Here is a 21,451-nt window from a genome sequence, read left to right as displayed (position 1 = left end):
TGAAGACTTGACTAGGGCTGGAGGATCCTTTTCTGAGGGAGCTCACTGACATGCCTAGCAAGCTGATGCTGCCTACTGCCAGCCCCAGTTCCTTGCCATACAGACCTCTTTACAGGGTGCTTGAGTACTGACATGACATGCCAGCTGGATTCCCCCAAAATGATCTGCTAAGCCATAAGATTTACGCATGTGGAAGGAGATTTATATGGGCCTTGTCCAGGTTTTCACATAGTTTAAAAAAAAAAATTTTTAGAAGTGAATTGCATTATGTTTGATAAGTCATCTTCATAGCATCATCTAGAACTTTTTTCATTTCTGCTCCAAAACTTTCTGACATCAGCACTCTCTGGGAAGAAAGCAATGAGTTGTGAATATGTCAGGATTTTAATGAGAATTGAAATCTCTGAGGGAACCAATCGTTGATAGGGTACCATAAATAGATACTGACACAGTTCTTCCAAGAGGTACCTTCTTTTTCCAATATGAAGACAGTAAATATATCTTTACCTTTGCTTCTTTGCAGCAGTGTTTAATAGAAGAAAAATTTTCTTGAATTTTGCCGTAATTTATAAATCTTGCAAATGCTACTTTATGACATTTGTTGTTGAAATCTGATGATTCATCAACCTGGATGAGAAGTTGTTAGGTTCTTTTGATGCTATGCAGCATTATGTGACATGTCATCAATCACATCAATTTATCAAACTTTGAAAGTGAAACCGTTTTAGTTTCTCATTACATCATATGCTGGCGTCTGACTCTCTGTAATTATACATGCTGAAATTGTGAGGTCCCATCAATTGTGGGGCTCTTTCCTTTTCTAGTCAAAAGGTTCTTCTGCTAAATAACTTGCTTTCTGGGCCTTTTTACTGAAGGTGACTTAAAAAAATAAATACATTCTTTACTCTGGGTTTCCAAAGGCCATATAAAATTATCTGCTCCTTTACTATGGTTTGCAGTTAAGTGTCTTTTCAATTTTGCTGGAGCCATTGCTTCATTTATAAGTTGTGATTCTTCATTACTAACTTTATCAGAATTATTAAGACTTAGAATTCTCTTCCATCTCCCAGTTCATCTTCAAAAATCACCACATTGGACTATAAGTCATGTTTGTAAAACACAGATGCTAATCAAGTATAAAACAAGCAAACTAAACAAGGAAATTTTTTTAAAAAATGATATCTTCAAATGCAATTCACTTTTAACCTGCAAGCTCCATGTGTCAGGCCTCTGAGCCCAAGCCTGCGTGTATACATCCAGATGGCCTGAGTCAACTGAAAACTACAAAGGAAGAGAAACAGCCTGCTCCTGTCTTAACTGATTGACCAACCTTAAGACATTCCATTATGACCTGTTCCTTCCCTGCCCAACTGATTGATTGATCGACCTCGTGACATTCTTCTTCTGGACCATGGGTCTTATGATCTCCCCACCATGCACCTTGTGACCCCCTCCTCTGCTGACAATAGATAGCCACCTTTAACTGTAACTTTCCACTGCTTATCCCAGTCCTATAAAACTGCCCCACCCCACCTCCCTTTGCCGACTCTTTTCAGACTCAGCCCACTTGCTCCCACATGAAATAAACAGCCTTGTTGCTCACACAAAGCCTGTTGGTGGACTCTTCACATGAACACGGACGAGCGTGACACCGTGTTTTACAACGTTTACAACATTAGCAAAGCAACAGGGAGGCATTTGAGTTATGGGGCATTAAAATTGCTTCCTTAAAATGTTGTCTTTGATTGTCTATTACATCAGGAGAGCTCGTTACCTGTCAGTTGACTGAATAAAGGGAGGCCAGGGGAGATTAGGAAATGTAAATCAGGAAGGAGAGGCTGATGTCATCAACCTATTGTCTCTCCCTCTCCCTCAACCTGTTGTCCCTCCTTAATTCAGCACCCACCAATCATCAACAGCACCCCCTGTTTGCATCAAAAGCTGAGAATGGACTCAATGAAATGAACATAGTTGTGTGGAGCACTGTCATGTTTGTGAATGACCTCTAGCGAAATTCCTAACAGAGTTGTTTGATCACTAGTCATTTACTACAAGTGTTGGCATTACATGGAGAAAGAAGTTCAAAAGAATGCCAAAAAAAAAAAAAAATTCCAATCTCTTCTGGAATCCCTAGTAACCGCTCCTAGACCCCTAATGACATCTGCAGAAACTCACGCTAGAGTATAAGCTCCTGAAGAATGACAACTACATCTTCTTTGTTTTGGTACCCTCAGCACTTAGTACAGTGCCTGGAATAAAATTGATGCTGATGCCCAATAAATATTTGTTAAATGGAACTGAATTCCTCTGTGCTTTGAATTTCTGCTCATGCCTTGAGAACCTACTTATCAACAAATGATCATAGAATGATGGTCAAAGAGACAAAGAAAATATGAAAGAGATGGGGGTAGAGAAAGTATATTAAGCACAGTCTAGTTGTGGTATTCAAGATCTAAGAAGGTGTCCATCCAGTTGTTTCACTGGAAGGTTAGGACATCTAATTAAAATACCAGTAAGGAGATACAGATGTTCCTCAACTTAACGATGGGGTTATATCCCAATAAACCCATCATGAGTTGAAAATATCTGAGTGGAAAATACATTTCATATATGTAACATACTGAACATCATAGCATGGCCTAGCCTACCTTGAAGGTGCTTAGAACACTTACATTAGCCTACAGTTGGGCAAAACCATCTGGCAGCACAGCACACTGGAGAGTCTCATTTGCTGCTGCTGTCCAGCATCATAAGAGAATATTGCACGCATATCACTAGCCAGGGAGAAGATCAAAGTTTAAAATTTGAAATACAGGTTTTGCTGAATGCTTATTGCTTTCACACCATTGTAAAGTAGAAAAATTATTCAGTGTAACCATTGTAAGTTGGGAGACTGTATTGCTAATGACAGAGAAGAGGGCTGGTAGCTAGGAATAGGGCTGAAATTTTTTATATTAGAACAAAATTTTAAAAGTACTTAGCTGAAGCTAGGCATGGTGGCTCACGCCTGTAATCCCAGCACTTTGGGAGACTGATGGGGGGCAGATCACCTTAGGTAAGGAGTTGGAGACTAGCCTGACCAACATGGTGAAACCCTTTCTCTACTAAAAATACCAAAATTAGCCGGGCTTGGTGGCGTGGGCCTGTAATCCCAGCTACTCGGGAGGCCAAGGCAGGAGAATCACTTGAACCCGGGAGGCTGAGGTTGCAGTGAGCCAAGATCGTGCCACTGCACTCCAGCAACACAGCAAGACTCCACCTAAAAAAAAAAAAGGCTGGGCACTGTGGCTCACACCTATAATCCCAGCACTTTGGGAGGCCAAGGTGGGTGGATCACGAGGTCAAGAGATCAAGACCATCCTCGCCAACATGGTGAAACCTCGTCTCTACTAAAAATACAAAAATTAGCTGGCCATGGTGGCACACATCTGTAGTCCCAGCTACTCGGGAGGCTGAGGCAGGAGAATAGCTTGGACCTGGGAGGCGGAGGTTACAGTGAACCAAAATGATGCTACTGCACTCTGGCCTAGTGACAGAGTGAGACTCCATCTCAAAAAAAAAAAAAAAGAAGTACTTAGCCAAGGTGCCATTAATTGTAAATATTAATGTGAACTCATGACTTTCTCTTTTATTTGGTTTTTATTATGAAAATTTCAAACGTAAACAAGAGTTGAAAGAGCAATATAATGAACTTCTCTGTACAACACCTTCAGCCTTTTGCAAATGTTATTCCTCCTATTTCCTCACTGTTATTATTAAAATTATTATTGCTAGAGTGTTTTATAGTAAACATTCTGTTCATAAATCTCCAGCAGAGGACTTTTTTAAAAAACATAAGCACAGTACCATTACCACACCTAACAAAAATTTTCTTAGTATTAGCGAATGTCCATGTGGAATTTTTCCAAGTTATTTCAAAATGTAATTTAATAATTGGATCAATCAAATGAAGATCCAAACAAGGGCCATACATTGTATTTTATTGATATGTCTCTTAATTTTCTTTTATTCTGTGTCAATTTCCTCTCCCTGTTTTTTTTCCCGCCCTGCCCCGCCATGGCATTTATTTGTTGAAAATACTGAGTCTTTTTGTCATGTAGAATTTTCTACTTTCTCACTGATTACATCCTTGTGGTGGTATAAATTGTTTTTCTATCCTCTGTATTTCCCATAAACTGGTAGTTAATTGATAGTGAGATCTAGAGACTTGATTGTTTTCAGGTTCTTTTCTTTTCTTTTCTTTTCTTTTCTTTTTTTCCTCCTTCAAGAATACTTCCTACCGTCCCATGAAGAGACACATAATATTTCTTATCCTTGTGGTGGTATAAATTGTTTTTCTATCCTCTGTATTTCCCATAAACTGATAGTTAATTGATAGTGAGATCTAGAGACTTGATTGTGTTCAGGTTCTTTTTTTTTTCGACCTGCAAGAATACTTCCTACCATCCCAGGAAGAGGCACATAAAGTCTGGTTGTCCCTCTTTGGAGATGAGATCAGTCAGTAGGATCAGTGTTATCAGCCTCATCAATCTCTTAGAGTTCCCTGCCAGCTTTTCATCTAACGGTTTTAGCAGCTGTTGGTGATCATCACTAGATCCATTGGCTCATAAGGTAGTGCAAAATAGTAATATGATAATTCTATCATTTATTTTGCAATTATTAACTGAAATAAAGAAATTTCCTTTTTTATTTCAATTTTTTGCTATCATTGTTCCTTATAATGCTTAAAATATTTCATCTTTGAGAGCCCCTTCAAGTATTTTAATACCACCAACTAGCCTCCAATGGCTTCCTTGCTTTCTGGTACAAAATATTTCTTTCACATTTTATGCCCCAGATGTGGAATCGCCCTTTCTCCAAAGAGCCTTAGTTTTTTAAATGGAAAATGGTAAGTAGAGAAGACAATCTGCCACTAAGGAGTGCTCATTGCTTCTGGATTGTTAGGACTTCTAGGCCCTATCAGTGGACACAGTGGACAACTAGAAGGTAATTATTTTTAGAAAGAAAAAAAACTGAGGGTCATAGCGGTATTTCCAATTCAAAGTTAAGACTACAGGGTTTCCATTTCTTTGAATTTAAACTTGTGTTTGTCTTACCCTGAAATTCTTATGACATTAGCATAATTATTTATTTGCCTTAGCCTCCATATATATATATATATATATATATATATATATATATATATATATGCTGTCAAGTAAGTATTATTATTAATGGTAAGATTACTGAATACTACTCAAGATTTTGTATCAGTTTGCTAATATTTTGTTTAGAGTTTATGCATCTATATTCATGAGTGAGGTTGGTCTTTTTATTGTGCTGTACCTCTGCTTTTGTAGATTCTGATTATAGAGCTCTGCCTTCAATGACTGCAGGAGAAGGGTGGGATATGAGGCCTCAAGGGTTTGCCTATGGCTTGCCTCTTAAGTTCAGAGACTCCCTTAACTTCATGGAGGCTGGTGTCATCTAGAATGCTTCTCTGCTTCTGCCTCAGTGTCCACTCAAGGGGTTCTGGGTTAGAACATGTGCTATAGAGAGCCTTACTGTAGGCTTTAGCCTGGAGTAAATGCTCAAGTTACCCCCGAGTGGGGCACTGGCTCAAATGTTCTTCCCTTTATTTATTAATTACTTAGTCTATCACTTATCTCAGATTCTACTGTTTCTATTTATTCTATGGTCTTTCTTATTTTGGATATCTCGTTGTCACCTATATGAATTTGACACTTCTTAAACTCCTTTAAGTTTTGCAGTTAATCTTTTCCTGTCTATTATATGTATTCTAGTAATTCCTCACTGTTTATGTCCTATTAATGAATCCTTCTTCATTTTTCAATGGTGCAATGGAATTACTTTTATTTTTATATTTATTTTCATTGAGATCATAGGAGGAAAGAGACTTAAACTGAATAAAATTTCAGTCCTCATGAGCACTTTACATTTTCTTTTTGTTAACTACTGTATTGGTCCATTCTTGCACTGCTATAAAGAAATACCTGAGACTGGATAATTTATAAAGAAAAGAGGTTTAATTGGTTCGTGGTTCCACAGGCTGTACAGAAAGCATGATGCTGGCATCTGCTCCGGTTCTGGGGAGGCCTCAGGAAACTTACAATCATGGCAGAAAGCAAACGGAAAGCACGTGCATTACATGGCTGGAGTAGGAGCAAGAGAGAGGGGGCATTTTAATCAGAAAGGATCAGAAACAGTTCTCATTCACATGGAATGGGCAACATATACACTTAAAGTTTTCCCAGGCCTTATCTGCCACCTTCTGATATAATATAATATGCAGAGATCTGGAGCATCTGGATTTCCCATAAGACACCATTGTTTTTCCATTGATAGCATTATCTTGATCAGAGGAGATGAGGAAGTAGCATGCTAAATACTTTGGTAAGACAGATGTGCTCCAGAGGGTAGGAAATAAAGCCTGGCACATCGGTAAAATTTTTAGGAAACCAGTGTTCAGGAACGTGCTAGCACATCCTCTTTAATGTAAAAGACAAATTATTGTATCTTGTACTTTCTTTAACAAAGAAGGAAGCACAAAATCTGATGAGGCTTTTTGGACTCTGGGAGCAAATATTCTGCAGTAGGGAATACTGCTCCAGCTGCCAAAGCAGAAATGGCTTCTGCAGTGGTCCAGCAGACTCTATGGCATCAGAAGTCTCAGTGATGGGGGAAAAAATGCTGTGTGGTGTTTGAGGAAGATCCTGTGGGAGAACCACAATATAGGACCTCAGGGTTCTGGAGCAAGGCCATGCCATCTGCAGCAGAGAATTGTGTGTCTTTTAAAGACCAATTTGTATATTACTGGTTCCTGGTAAATGTAGAATAATGAATCACAGGACACTACATCACCATACGGCCAGAACTGCCCATTATGATCTGGATCCAAATGGACCCGCAAAGTATAAGGACAAGCAGGCCTAGGAAAAATGTATTGTAAGATAGAAGTGTGACATCCAGAGCCAAACACAAACAGGACCAGAGGTATGAGCAATGTGCATAAACAGGTAGCAGGTAGCCCAGACTGCCCCTGTCCCCAGCATCCAAACAGTTGCACTCATGGCCCTTCCTTAGCTCACACCTATAGCTCCCTGGGGAATTTGGTATGACCAGCTGAAGGAGGAGAGAAAAGGTCACATTTTGTTTACAGATGGGTTGGCTTGGTATATAGGCAAGTTAAAAATAGACAGAGGCAGCTTTACAGCCACACTTTGGAGTGGTTTTGAAAGACAGTGGTGAGAGAAAGTCCTCCCAAAGGGCAGAGCTGCAGGGGGTACACCTGGTCATCCACTTCGTGTGGAAAGAGAGGTGGCCTGAGGCTAGACTTATATAGAATCACAGGCAATAGTGATTTCCTGATCATCTTTTGTTCCTGAAATGAAAAATATTCAAAGATCAAGAGCAAAAAGTTCTGGGAGGCAAACAGCAACTTTAGCCTGAGAAGTGAATGGTAACCAAGGGTTCAGACCACTCCTGAAAGAGACCGTGGGTCATGTCATCAGGTACGTCACTGAGATCAGCAGAGGTGGGAGGTCGGAGTGAAGAGAATCTAGAATGGATATGTGTACATACAGGACTGGGCATGAAGTATACAAATCTTTGTATCATGGCCAGGCACGGTGGCTCACGCCTGTAATCCCAGCACTTTGGGAGGCCGAGGCAGGTAGATCACAAGGTCAGGAGATCAAGACCATCCTGGCTAACACAGTGAAACCTCATCTCTACTAAAAATACAAAACATTAGCCGGGCGTCATGGCGGGCGCCTGTAGTCCCAGCTACTCAGGAGGCTGAGGCAGGAGAATGGCATGAACCCGGGAGTCGGAGCTTGCAGTGAGCCGAGATCACGCCACTGCACTCTAACCTGGGTGACAGAGCGAGACACTGTCTCAGAAAAAAAAAAAAAAAAGAGAGAGAGAAAAAAGAAAAAGGAAAAAAAATCTTTGTATCACATGTTAATGCCTACTAGAAAGCATCCACCAAAGAAAAGGCACTAAATAACCAACAAAATGGCTCAACCAGTTTGGCTCAACAAAACGATTGAGCCAAAATGACTGAGTCTCAGTCATCAGCCACCCCACTGCTGGCACGATGGGCACAAGAATGAAGTGACCGTGGTAACAGAGATAGAGGCCACCCATGAGGCCAATAGCACAGACCCCGAGGCTTATCTAGCTCCCATCATTAACAAATGCCCAACCTGACAGCAGCTGACACTAATACTGTCCCCACAAGATGGCACAATTCCTCAAGGAGACCAACTAGTCACTTAGTGGCAAATTAATTACATCTGATTCTTTCACTCTTTGGAGGGTCAGTGGTCTATTCTTACAGGAATAGACATATTTGAGGTATGAGTGTGCCTTTCTTGCCTGCAGGGCCTCCATTAGCACCATAATCCAGAGAATTATAGAGTGCTTAATTATCTAGCAAAGATCACATCCTGCCAGACAAGGGTGCCCACTTTACAGCAAAGCAGGCCCAGGAGTGGGCCTGTGATCATGCAATCCCCTGGTCATATCACATACCACACCACTCAGAAGCTGGTGGACTTACAGAATGTTATAATGGGCTGCTGAGGACAGAGCTGAGGTGCCAGTTAAATGCAAAACTTTGTGAGAATGGGGTGCTATCCTCCAGGAAGCAGTATATACATTCAATCAAAGACTTTCATATAGCATTATGTTCCCAATAGGAAGAATACCTGGGTCTGGGAACCAAGGAATAAAGGCAAGAATTACCACACTTACCATCACCACCATTGACCAACTGGGGGCTTTGTGCATCTTGTCTCCACAGTTGTAGACTCTGCAGGGTTCGTTATCTTGGTCTCCAAAGGACTATACTTTCACCAGGGGCAAGCAAGAGTCCCATGGAATTATAAACCAGAGCTGTTGCCTGGGGTACGCTGGGCTCTTTGTGTCTAGGAACTAGCAAGAAAGAGTCAGAATCCACAAGGGTAATTGGCCCTGATCATTCCGAGGAAGTAGGGCTGCTATTACTATAATGTGGGCAGGGAGGAAGATGTGTAGAACCCACATAACCTACTGGGGTACCTCTTATTTTTTGCTTTTTTTGGTTTCTTTTTTAAGAGAGGGTCTCTCTTTGTCACTTAGGCTAGAGTGCAGTGGTGCAATCATGGCTAACTGCAGCCTCAACCTCTCCCTGTGTTGCCCAGGCTCATCTCAAACTCCTGGCCTCAAGCAATCCTCCTGCCTTGACCTCCCAAAGTGCTGGGATTACAGGAGTGAGCCACCATGTCCAGCCTGCCTCTTGTGACAGTAGGGATAAAAATGGCAACTTTTGCCTGAGAAACAAAAGGTAACCAGGGGCTCAGACCACTCCTGAAAGAGAGTGTGGGACATGTCATCCAGTAAGTCACCGAGACCAGCAGAGGTGGGAGGTCAAGGTAAAGGGAATCTAAAATGGATAGGAAGGGGGCCAAGGGTAAGTTTCAACTACAGCCCCAAGATCAACTGCAAGGGTAGGAGCTGTAGTTTTTCCCATTAACTTCCTCTTCTAAGTTTTCTCTCAAGAATAGGGACCCACTGAAATGTTTAAGGAGCCACTCCTGGAGTGTATATGGAACATAGATCTAAGAGGTGCAAGTATGTACTCTGAAAGACACAGAGATGAGTTTCCCAGAACCCTTGTCAAGGAAGGTCTTGCTACCTGGCTGTAAAGAGTGTAGTCAGAAGATACCTCCTCCTGATAGCACATAACTGTCAGATCCTTCTGTGTCTGCCTTAGCTACAGAAAACTGTCTCACCTAAGTGTATGCCCTTCCTGGGCAATATATAGTAGGGGACCAAGCAAGGCAGAATATAATGGCCCAGCCATTTATACTGAAATCAGGGGCACTGTGACAGGTCACACTCACTCCAGTTCAACTTCTACCTCTGTTCACCCCTGCTTCCCCTCCCTTCCTTGTATGGATATCGATCCCTAACAAACACTTGTGCCCCACACTCACTGTCTCAAGTCTGCTTCTGATGAACCCAACTGTGTCAGCATTTCTGCTATCACAGATTTATTTCATAAATAGATAAACCCTGCATGATAGTTGGTACTGGCACAAGAATACTTGTTTTTAAAATTTCTTGTACTCCAAAAATACAATTTGATCACAGCACAACAAATGCATGGTAAAGAAGCTGGTTTCTAGAGTTTTAAATGTATTTTGCAGCCTTCACTATATGGTCTACTTTTATTCTTACTGTCTCCTAGTCTTCAACCTTAAGTTTAAAAAATTATATTTTTACTGTACAAAAAAAAAACCAAAAAATTGCTTCCAATATAATTTCTGTCTTCCCTGGAATACAGAATTGAGTCATTGCAATTAACAGGGTGGGAGGAAATCAGTCTCTTCTGGTGGAAACAAGTTCCTATTGGTCACCTCCCTCAGCTCTTTAATGGGAAGGCCATTTTTTGGTTTCAGTTACGGTAAATCTCTCTGGATTTCAGCCAAATTCTTTCAGAGTTCAAAAGTACAAAGCTCTTTAGGAGGTTTGTTCTTTTGAAACATTTTTTCAGAGGTTAAAAATTAAATTTCAAAAGAATACCTGGAGTGGAAAAGAGTTCTCAGCAGAGACAAAGACCCCGAACACCTCCAACATGAAGCTTCTTCATGTTTTCCTGTTATTTCTGTGCTTCCACTTAAGGTTTTGCAAGGTAAGTAATTCAACCTTTATGCAAACAATTTTAATTGATAATTTAAAGGTTGTAAAAACATAGAAAATAATCTTAAATATATAATTTTGATTTAAATATTACATAGTTCAGTTACAACAATGCCACTCTATAGTCAGCAACAAATGTTTTATGTTAATATCTTGATAAAAGTGATTTTTTAAAAATAGTTCTTTTTATGTGCTTATATATGCAGAGGCATTGAACTGAACAAGAATTTTACTAATACAAGGCTGTGATTTACTGTAATTGTAGTAAATCAAAAATATTTACCAGGCTCCTCCTGTGTGTAAGGTACAGTGCTACGAAGACAGTGAGACTGATCTCTTCCTTCAACAGCCTCTTAGTACGCTCTATAGTTATAGAAAGGGGAAATAATAAGCAAATTTGAAACATCTGAAAACACAAAAGTGCAAGTTACAAGACAGTATATATTTAATTGTCAAAAGTGATACAAATATGTGGTAAAGGACTTCAATGAGAGGACAAATCACTTCATGCTGAGAGGTCATGAAGAGATTATAGATCAAGTAGGATTTGAGCTGAACGTTTAATTCTGTATTACATGTGATCAGTGGTGAGAAAGAGGAGTGATTTCCAGCTTCTTTAGCCAGGAAAAGCAGCAAGTGCTACCATAGGAAGGCAGCAATGCACTAGGCCCCTCCAAATAAATGAATCCATTTGATCAGAATGAAGGCTTTGTGGGCTACAAAGGAACTCGAAACTGAAATGACATATTTTATTGAAGTTAGAGTGTCATCTATTAAGGTGAAAAATGTTTAAAATATTTTGGATACTTATTGATGATTGCCAACTTTGGTGGCAATCCAAAACTATCTTGTCTTAGTGCCAGCTTGTAGAAGAAAATATTTAAAGAAAACTACTTAAGAAAACACACTTTAAGATTCTTGTAACTTCTAAAATAGTTGCCATCATTGCAATGTTTATAATAGAGAATAAATGGAAATAACTAAATGCTTATTAATAAGACACTGGTTAAATTATTGTATATCCAAAATTGAACTATTACATAGCCATTGAAATGACATATTTATCTAAATAAAAAGTCCTTACTACAATTTTATTTTTATTGAAGAAAAACACACACACACATATGTATGTGTGTTTATATGCATATATATAAATGCATACTTATACCTACTTATATATATGACTAAAAGATCTTACAGTGTATGTATCAAACAGTTAATAGTTGCTATCATTGGCTAATAAGATTACTGGTGATTCTATTTTCTGTTTTCGGTTTTACTGAACCTACTCAGACAAGGAAACTAGGGGATTCAGAAAAGATGGAAAAGAAACCCATAGCACAGTGGGAGTGGCTGCTGGGGCCTTCTAATGGGGGGAATAACCAGAGGATGTTCAACAACAAGGAAGCTGACTAGGTGTGGGGGTTCACGCATGTAATCCCAGTACTTTGGGAGGCTGAGGCAAGAGGATTGCTTGAGCCCAGGAGTTTGAGGCTGCGGGGAGCTCTGATCATGCCACTGTATTCCAGCCTGGGTGACACAGCAAGATCCTGTCTCAAAAAAAAAAAAAAAAAAAAAAAAAAAACAGAGAAGCCAAATATTTCAGTCAACATGATTACCTACCATAATTGTGCTGTGACGTAATCACCAACTGATACCCTAAATTTTATTTTACCCTAAAATTTTATTACAAACTCAGGCACATATGGGTGGCATTTTAGAGAGAAAGAACTGGGGTAATGTTAAGCAGAATGACAACATCCTGGAAACAAGGGTGGCACACAGGAGGGTGTGCAGTGCAAGTGATGGCAGCGGAAATGGCAGAGTAGGCAGATCCACCAAAACCAAAAACCAAAAATCCATTTCTACAGAAACCAAAGGGAAGCTGTCAGAACCAACTTTATTTAGAACTCTGGAAAACAGTCAAAGGTTTATAGCACCTAAGAAAATGTTGAATGCAGGAACAGGCAACTAAAAATGGTATGAAAGCTTAGTAGCATTTTGCGTGTCTGTCCTTTGTGTCCTTGCCCCATACCCTCCCTAATTTGGCAGTGGTCTTGAAGGATATCTGAGTACATAAAATAGCCTTAACACAATAACAACAAATTTTGGTTTATTAAAACAAGTTCACACATTGTCATTAAAAAGACATTTTGAAATTCACTGTATTCTCATTACCTTAGTTTGCAAATGTTAAAGCAATTTTCTTCTAAAAATACAAACTGTTTCTCTTACTATGCAGAATATTATCCTAATCACTTACCACACTTCTATCACCCTATCACTTATAATACTGTTGTAAACCAACCACTAAGTGGCCTTTCCACTTACAATTTCTTCATGTATCTTAGATTTCAGTTTCTTAATCTTCCATGGGAAAGTATATAAATCTGTCTATCTAATATGGAAGAAATTCTCCTAACTCTGGTGCAGCAAACACTGACCATGTACGTTTCTCACTCAGGGAGGGACCCGGTTCCCTAGCACTGGAAAGAACAGAGAAGACCTTATTCAAAAATAATGTGTTTGTCTTTTCTATCCTAAGGCCTTCCTGTAGGACAGACCCCAGGCACTTGTCTTGGTTTCACCTAGCTCAGAACTCAGAGCAGAAAAGCATTAATATTACAAAGCACAGGCATTGCAAGATTAATGAGCAATCTCAGCTGTCTGGGGCAAAGGATTACAGTGGAGGCACACAACAGAGCACCAAAGCATGGGGAAAAACTAAGATCCTATGGAAAATTAGGGCATTCAAAAGTGCCTGTGTGTATTGGGGAGTTTAGGAAGCCCCATACATGCTCAGGGCAGGATACATGCTCAGAAAGACCTCAGAAGACTCTGAGCCTGCACCTCTGGTGGTTGTCTAAGTTCAGTGCAAGTATGAAGTGAAGGCTAAGGTAGAGTTGCAAATGGCCTGGATGAGTGAGTGCCCAGGACAGAACCAATCTGCAAAGACTGGGAGAGATTTTGAGATTTTGATTTGTTTTTCTGGGTTTCTTTTTCTTCTCTCTCTCTCTCTCCCTCCTCTTGCATTGAAGGAAATCTCTGTCTAAATACTAGCTGAATATAAGTCAAAGGAACAGACTTCAAAGACCACATGTGATAAAGAATAGACTTGCCAAAAGTAGTTTAGAAAAGTCATCAAACAAACACCAAGCAACCAAAGCAAACCCCAAGCAACCAAAACAAACCCCAAGCAGAAGGAAGAGTCTGATTTCAAGAGTTACTGTAAGAGTCAAAGTGTCAACCAAAAATTTTCAACCAAAAATTATGATGCATGCAAAGATATGAGAAAGTATGGACCATTTACAGAAGAAATGAACATAATCTGTTCCAGAAGAACCACAAACTTTGGACTCACTAAACAAAGACTTAATGGTCTTTTTAAAAAAAAAAAACACTTTATTGAGTTATGATTGACATATAATAAACTCTACATATTTAGTGTACATAACTTGATGAGTTTGAGTTTGGAGATTAGTATATGTCTGTGAAAATATCACAACATATGCCATAAACGTATTCACCACTTCTAAAAGTTTCCTCTCACTCTCTTTATTTATTATTTTGTGTGTGCATGTAACAACTCTTAACAAAGAAATTGTGCTCTTAGCAAATTTTTAAGTATACAATACAGTATTATGAACAATAGGCACTATTCTGTAGCATAGATCTCTAAGAATTATACATCTTGACCTTTGACTAACACTTCCCTGTTTCCCCCTCACCCAGTCCTTGGCAACCACCATCCCACTCTCTGGTTCCATGAGTTTGACTATCTTAGATTCCTAATATAAGTTGTATTATGTGGTATTTATCCTCCTGTCCCTGCCTTGTTTCACTTAGATTAATGTCCTCTAGGTTCATCCATATTGTCACAAATGGCAGGATTTCCTTCTTTTTTAAGGCCAAATAATATTTCATTGCATGTATATACCACATTTTCTTTATCAATTCTTCCACAACTGTAGAAGAATTTCCCTTTCTGCATATCCTCAGCTACATTTGTTACCTTTGGTTATTTTGACAATAACCATCCTAACTGGTGTGTGATTTTGATTTAAATTTCCCTAATGGTTAGTGATATTAAACACCTTTTCAAGTACCTATTGACCATTTACATATCTTATTTGAAGAAATGTCTATTCAGCTCCTTTGTCCACTTTTTAAAGTAGACTATTTGGTTCTTGGCTTTTGATTTGTAGGAATTCCCTATGTATTTTAGATAGATATTAACTTCTTACCAGATGTATAGTTTGCAAATATTTCTTCCATTGTATATGTTGTCTTTTCATTTTGCTGTGCAGAAGGTTTTTAGCTTGAGGTAGTCCCACTTGTCTGTTTTTGCTTTTGTTGCCTGTGCTTTTGTCGTCATAGTCAAGATATTATTGCCAAGACTAATGTCAAGAAGCTTATCACTTATGTTTTATTCTAAAAGTTTTATGATTTCAGGTGTATGTGTAAGTCTTTAATCCATTTTGAGTTGATTTGTGTGTATGGGGTAATATAGGGGTCCAATTTCAGTTTTTGCATGTGGATTTCCAGTTTTCCCATTACCACTTATTAAAAAGACTATTCTTCACCCATTATATATTCTTGGCTCCCTTGTTGAAGAGCAGTTGACTATCTATGCATGGTTTTATCTCTGAACTTTCTACTTTGTTCCATGAATCTATATGTCTGTTTTTATGAGAGTACCATATTGTTTTGATTACTGCAGCTTTGTGATATTTTTTGAAATCAGGAAGTGGGATGCCTCTGGCTTTGTTCTTCTTGCTCAAAAAATTGTTTTGGCTATTTTGTGTCTTTTGAAATTCCATGTAAATTTTAGAATTATATTTTCTATTTCTGTAAAAAAATGCCTTTGCAATTTTGGTAGGGATTGTATCAAATCTGTAGATTATTTGTAATAGTATAAACATTTAACAATATTAATTCTTTCAGTGAAGGAATGTGAGTTGTCTTGCCATTTCTTTGTGCCTACTTTAATTTCTTTCATCAGTGTTTTACAGTCTTCAGGGTATGAGTTTTTCACCTTGTTGGTTAAATTTATTTCTAAGTGCTTTATTCTTTTAACTGCTATTGTAAATGAGATTGTTTTGTTTTGTTAAAGACAGGGTTTTGCACTGTTGCCCAGGTGGGAATGCAATGGCAAATTATAGCCCACTGCAGTCTTCGCCTCCTGTGCTCAAGCTACCCTCCTACCCCAGCCTCTCAAGTAACCATGACCAAAGGTGTGCACTACCATGCCAACTAATTTTATTTTTTGTAGTGATGGGACCTTGCTATGTTGCCCAGACTAGTCTCAAACTCCTGGCCTCAAAGGATCCTCCCACCATGGCCTCTCAAAGCACTGGGAAATAGGCATGAACTGCTGCACCTGGCCTGAGATGGTTTTCTTAAAATTCTTTCTAGGACAGTTCATTATTGATGTATAGAAACACCACTGATTTTTGTATGTTGTTTTTGTATCCTGCAGCTTTAGTGTTGCTGTTTATCATCTTTTCATTTCAACTTGAATAAAACCTTTTATCATTTCTTGTAAGGCAGGTGATGTATTTCCTGTTTTGATTTATTAGGGAAAGTCTTTATCTCTCTTTCATTTTTAGAGGATAGTTTTTCTGGGTGTAATATTCTTGGTTGGCAGTGGTTTTGGGGTTTTTTGTTTCTTCGTTATGACACTTTGAATATATTATCCCACTCTTTCCTGGCCTGCAGTGTTTCTGAAGAAGAAGAAATTTGAAGAATAAATCCACTGATAGTTTTATAGGGTTTTCTTTGTATATGACAAGTTGCTTTTCTCGTTCTTTCAAAATTGTCTTTTTGTCTTTGACATTTGAGAATTTGATTATAATGTGTCTCAGTCTAGACCTTTTTAGGTTAGATATCTTTGTGATCCTTTTGGTCCTCATGAATCCAGATGTCCATTTCCTTCCCTAGATTTGAGATGTTTTCAGGCATTGTTAATTTAAATAAGCTTTCTTTCCTTTTCCCTTTCTCTTCTCCTTCTGTAAATAACATAATGCATTCATTCGTTGGCTTGAGGGTATCCCACAAGTCCTGTAGTCTTTATACTTTTTCATTTTGTTCCTCTGACCATATAATTTCAAATAACCTGTCTTTGAGTTCACTGATTCTCTCTTCTGTTTGACTAAGTATGGTGTATGAGCTCTCTACTGAATTTTTCAGTTCCTTTATTGTATTATTTTCACCTCCAAAATTTCTCTTTGGTTCTTTTTTATGGTTTATGTTTGTTGAATATCTCATTTTGCTCATGAATTATTTTCCCCTAATTTTGTGTAGTTGTTTATCTGTGTCCTTTTATAGCTCTTTGAGCTTCTTTAAGATGTTACTTTGAATTCTTTGTCAAGCAATTTGTAGGTCTCCAATTCTTTAGAGTCACTTATTGGAGCTTTATGTGCTCCTTGGATAGTGTCTTTTTTCTTCATAATCCTTGTAACCTGTATTAATGTCTGGATGTTTGAAGAAGCAGCCACCTCTTTCAGTCTTCACAGACTGACTTTGGCAGAAAAAGTCTTTCACAAATCAGTCAGCCAGAGATTCTGGGTGGGTCAGCTGGCAAGGCCCGTGTGAACGGCTTGTTGCTTGAGACCATGTGTGGGTGGGCCTGGTGCCTGGGTCTACCAGTGGGCTCGGTGCTGTGGTCCACGGGCAGGCCTGGTGCCACCGTCACTGTGTGGGTAGACAGTCTTGATGCCAGTGCCCAGGAGCAGGGTTGCTCTCTTTTTCCCCCACAAGAGAGCTCATGATCCAAAGGAATCTCTTTCAGCATCGTGTATGCTGTGTAGGGTAAAGGGTAACTCTATAAAGTGAAATTTATTTTCTTATCCTTTCAATTTTTTCTCATATATTTGTTCCACTTGCATGCTGTAACCTCTCACCTTGATCCTGGAGCTCTCATAAAGGTATTTTTATTTGTAGATGGTTGTTACATTGGTGTTTCTGTGGGAAGACAAGTGCTGGGACATTTTGTTCCACCATCTTGCCAATGTCACACGCTTCAACTGTCTTAAATGTGCTCAGAGCTACAGGAAACCCTGATAATAATGTATAAACAAATATAGAATATTAATAAATAAATAGAATTGTTTTGGAGACAGAGTCTTGCTCTGTCACCCAAGCTGGAGTGCAGTGGCACAATCTTGGCTCACTGCAACCTCTGCCTCCCAGGTTCAAGCAATTCTCATGCCTTAGCCCCCTGAATAGCTGGAATTACAGGTGCCCACCACCACACCCAGCTAATTTTTGTATTTTTAGTAAAGATGGGGTTTCACCATGTTGGCCAGGCTGGTTTTGAACTCCTGAACCTCAAGTGATCCACCCACCTCACCCTCCCAAAGTGCTGGGATTACAGGTATGAGCCACCGTGACTGGCCAACAAATAGAAATTTTAAAAAGGAACTAGACAAAACTTCTGGAGTTGAAAAGCACAATAACAAACATGAAAAATTTTCTAATAGGTTTCAGTAGAAGATTTGAGCAGGCAGAAGAAATAGTCAACAAACTTGAAGATCAGTCCATTTAATTAATTATCCAGTATGAGAAGCAGAAAGAAAAAAGGATGACAAGGAATGAACAGAGCCTATGAGACTCGTGTGACACCATAAAGCATACCAAAATATATATAATGGAACCCCAGAAGGAGAAAATAAGAAAGTAAGAGAGAATATATGAAGAAATAATGGCTGAAAAATTTCCACATTTGATCAAATGCATGGCTGTCCACATTCAAAAAGCTCAATGCAATCCAAGAAGGATAAACACAAAAAGGTTCAAACCAAGACACATTATAATCAAATTGTCAAAACCAAGGATGAAGAAAGTCTTGAAAACAACATAGTCATGAGATTCCGTAAGATTAGCAGCAGCTTTCTCATCAGAAACCATGGAGGGCAGATGAAAATTTTATTTGTTGAAAGTAAAAAACTGTCAACCAAGAATTCTGTATCTGGCAAAACTATCCTTCACAAATGAAGGAGAAATGAAGAAATTCACAGATAAATAGAGGCTGAAGGAGTTAGCTACTAATAGACCTGTCCTACAGGAAATGCACTACAAGTAGCTGGGTGTGGTGGCTCATTGCCTATAATCCCAGCACTTTAGGGGAATGAGGCAGGAGGACTGCTTAAGCCCAGGAGTTCAAGACTATCCTGGAAAACACAGCAGGAGCCCATCTCTCTAAAAAATAAAATTAGCTAGGTGTAGTGGCATGTATCTGTAGTCTCAGCTACTCGGGAGGCTGAGGTGGGAGAATCACTTGAGCTCAGGAGTTCAAAACTGCAGTGAGCTCTGACTACACCACTTCATTCAAACCTGGGCAACAGAGTGAGATCATCTCTAAAATAAAATTAAATTAAAATAAAGAAATACAGTGCAAGTCAGAGAACCCTGCATACTGCAGTGAAAGGACATTTGGCAGTTACTTGAAGTAATATGAAGAAATAAAGAACTCCAGTAAAGGTAACTACATAGGTAAATATAAAAGCCAGTATTATATTATTTTGGTTTTGTATCTCTTCTTTTCCTTTCCCACATGAGTTAAAAGACAACTATATAAAACGATTCTAATTCTGTGTTAACAGTGCACAATGTATAAAGATGTAACATGACAATAACAACATAAAGGAATGGATGGAGCAGTATAGGAACAGAGTTTTGTATGCTCTCAAAGCCAAGTTATCAATTCAAACTAGATTACTATAAATTTAATCACTATTAATTGTAATCTCCATAGTACCGAAAAAGAAAATATCTAAAAAATATACACAGAAGGAAATAAAGAGAGAACTGAAATAGTTGAATATGAAAAAATCAACTAAACACAAAAAGGGCAGTAATGGAGAAAATGAGAAACAAAAAAGGTATAAGACATACAATAAACAAATAGCAAATAGAAGAGTAAGTCCTTTCTTATCAGCAATTACTTTAAATGGAAGTGGATTAAATTCTAATATCAAAAGGCAGAGATTGGCAGAATCAGTTTTTTAAAATTATTATCCAACTATATGCTGTCTAAAGAGGCTGCCTTTAGGTCCAAAGAAATAAAGGATAGAAAAGATATTATGTGCAAATAACAATCAAAAAAGAGCTAAAGTGGCTATACTAATACCAGACAAAATAGACCTTAAGTCAAAAACCGTTACAAGAGATAAATTACATGATATATTAATGAAAGGGTCAATTCTTCAGGAATATATAACAATTATGAATATTATACACTAAACAATAGAGCCCCAAAAGATATGAATGAAAAGTGACAGAATAAAAGAGAGAAACAGACAATTCTTGTTTTGGGGGGGGTGGGTTTGTTTTTGTTTTTGTTTTTGTTTTTGAGATGGAGTCATCCAGGCTGGAATGCAGTGGCATGATATCGGCTCACTGCAGCTGATTCAAGTGATTCTCATGCCTCAGCCTCCCAAGTATTTGGGATTATAGGAGTGCACCACCACGCCCGGCTAATTTGTGTATTTTTAGTAGAGACAGGGTTTCACCATGTTGCCCAGGCTGATCTTGAACTCCTGACCTCAGGTGATCTGCCCTTGGCCTCCCAAAGTGCTGAGATTATAGGCGTGAGTCACTGTGCCTGACCAGAAATAGATAATAATATAATAATAGTTGGAAGCTTCAATACTCCACTTTCTATAATGAATAGAAGGTCAATAAGGAATGGAGAACTTGAACAACACTATAAGCCCAGTAGACCTAATAACTAGACATATATAGAACTCTGCACTCAATAATAGCAGAATACACATTTTTCTCAAGCGCACATGGAACAATTTCTAAGATAGACCGTATAGGACTTGTCACAAAATGAGTCTTAATAAATTTTACAAATATTGAAATTATACAGAGTAGCTTCTCTAACCACAGTGGAATAAGGCTGGAAACCAATAACAGAAAGAAAATTAGAAAATCTACAAATATGTGGAAATTAAACAACATATTCTTAAGCAACCAATGGTCAAAGAAGAAATCACAAGGGTAATTGTGAATACTTGGAGATAAATGAAAACAAAACACAACATACCAAAACATATGATATGCAGCGAAAGCAGTTATCAAAGATAAATGTATAGCAGTAAATGCCTACATTAAAAAAGAATAGAGGACCCAGAAATAAGGCTGCACCCTTACAAGTATCTGATCTTCTACAAATCTGACAAAAAGAAGCAATGGGGAAAGGACTCCCTATTCAATAAATGATGCTGGGATAACTGGCTAGCCAATTGCAGAAAATTGAAACTGGACCCCTTCTTTAGACCATATACAAAAATTAACTCAAGATAGATTAAAGAATTAAATGTAAAACCCAAAACTATGAAAACCCTGGAAGACAACCTAGGCAATACTATTCTGGACATAGGAATGAGCAAAGATTTCATGACGAAGACACCAAAAGCAATCACAACAAAGCAAAAATTGACAAATGGGATCTAATTAAACTAAAGAGCTTCTGCACAGCAAAATAAATTATCAGCAGAGTGAACAGACACCCTACGGATGGGAGAAAATGTTTGCAAATTATGCATCTGACAAAGGTCTAATATCTAGTATCTATAAGGAACTTAAACAAATTTACAAGAAAAAAACAACCCATTAAAAAGTGGACAAAGGACATGAACAGATACTTTTCAAAAGAAGACTTATATGCAGCAGCAATCATATGAAAAAAAGCCCAACATCAGTGATCACTGGATAAATGCAAATTAAAACCACAATGAAATACCATCTCACACCAGTC

General features: G+C 38.5%; 1 protein-coding gene and 1 long non-coding RNA gene across 21 annotated transcripts in view; one reads left to right on the top strand and one right to left on the bottom strand.

The window, feature by feature from the left end:
* LOC124900757 (uncharacterized) lies at window positions 6,005-8,921 on the bottom strand. The gene is made up of 2 exons (XR_007058226.1): window positions 8,758-8,921; window positions 6,005-6,152 (listed from the first exon to the last, which is right to left on the bottom strand). It is a non-coding gene; the product is annotated as an uncharacterized LOC124900757 (long non-coding RNA).
* The window catches only part of CFI (complement factor I), a 71,018-nt gene continuing 60,160 nt past the window's right edge, over window positions 10,594-21,451 (top strand). For all 20 annotated transcript variants that reach the window (NR_164673.1, NR_164671.1, NR_164672.1 and 17 more), the window contains exon 1: window positions 10,594-10,678. Coding sequence is in view for 16 of the 20 variants with exons in the window: in NM_001375282.1 (NP_001362211.1) it covers window positions 10,622-10,678 (57 nt within the window). In the remaining 4 variants the exon portion in view is untranslated. The remainder of the gene's footprint in view (window positions 10,679-21,451) is intronic.

The sequence above is a fragment of the Homo sapiens genome, chromosome 4 (genome assembly GCF_000001405.40).
Source record: "Homo sapiens chromosome 4, GRCh38.p14 Primary Assembly".
Classification (NCBI taxonomy): Eukaryota; Metazoa; Chordata; class Mammalia; order Primates; family Hominidae; genus Homo; species Homo sapiens.
Note: the sequence above shows the minus strand (reverse complement) of the source record. Positions and strands in the feature narration are given on the sequence as shown.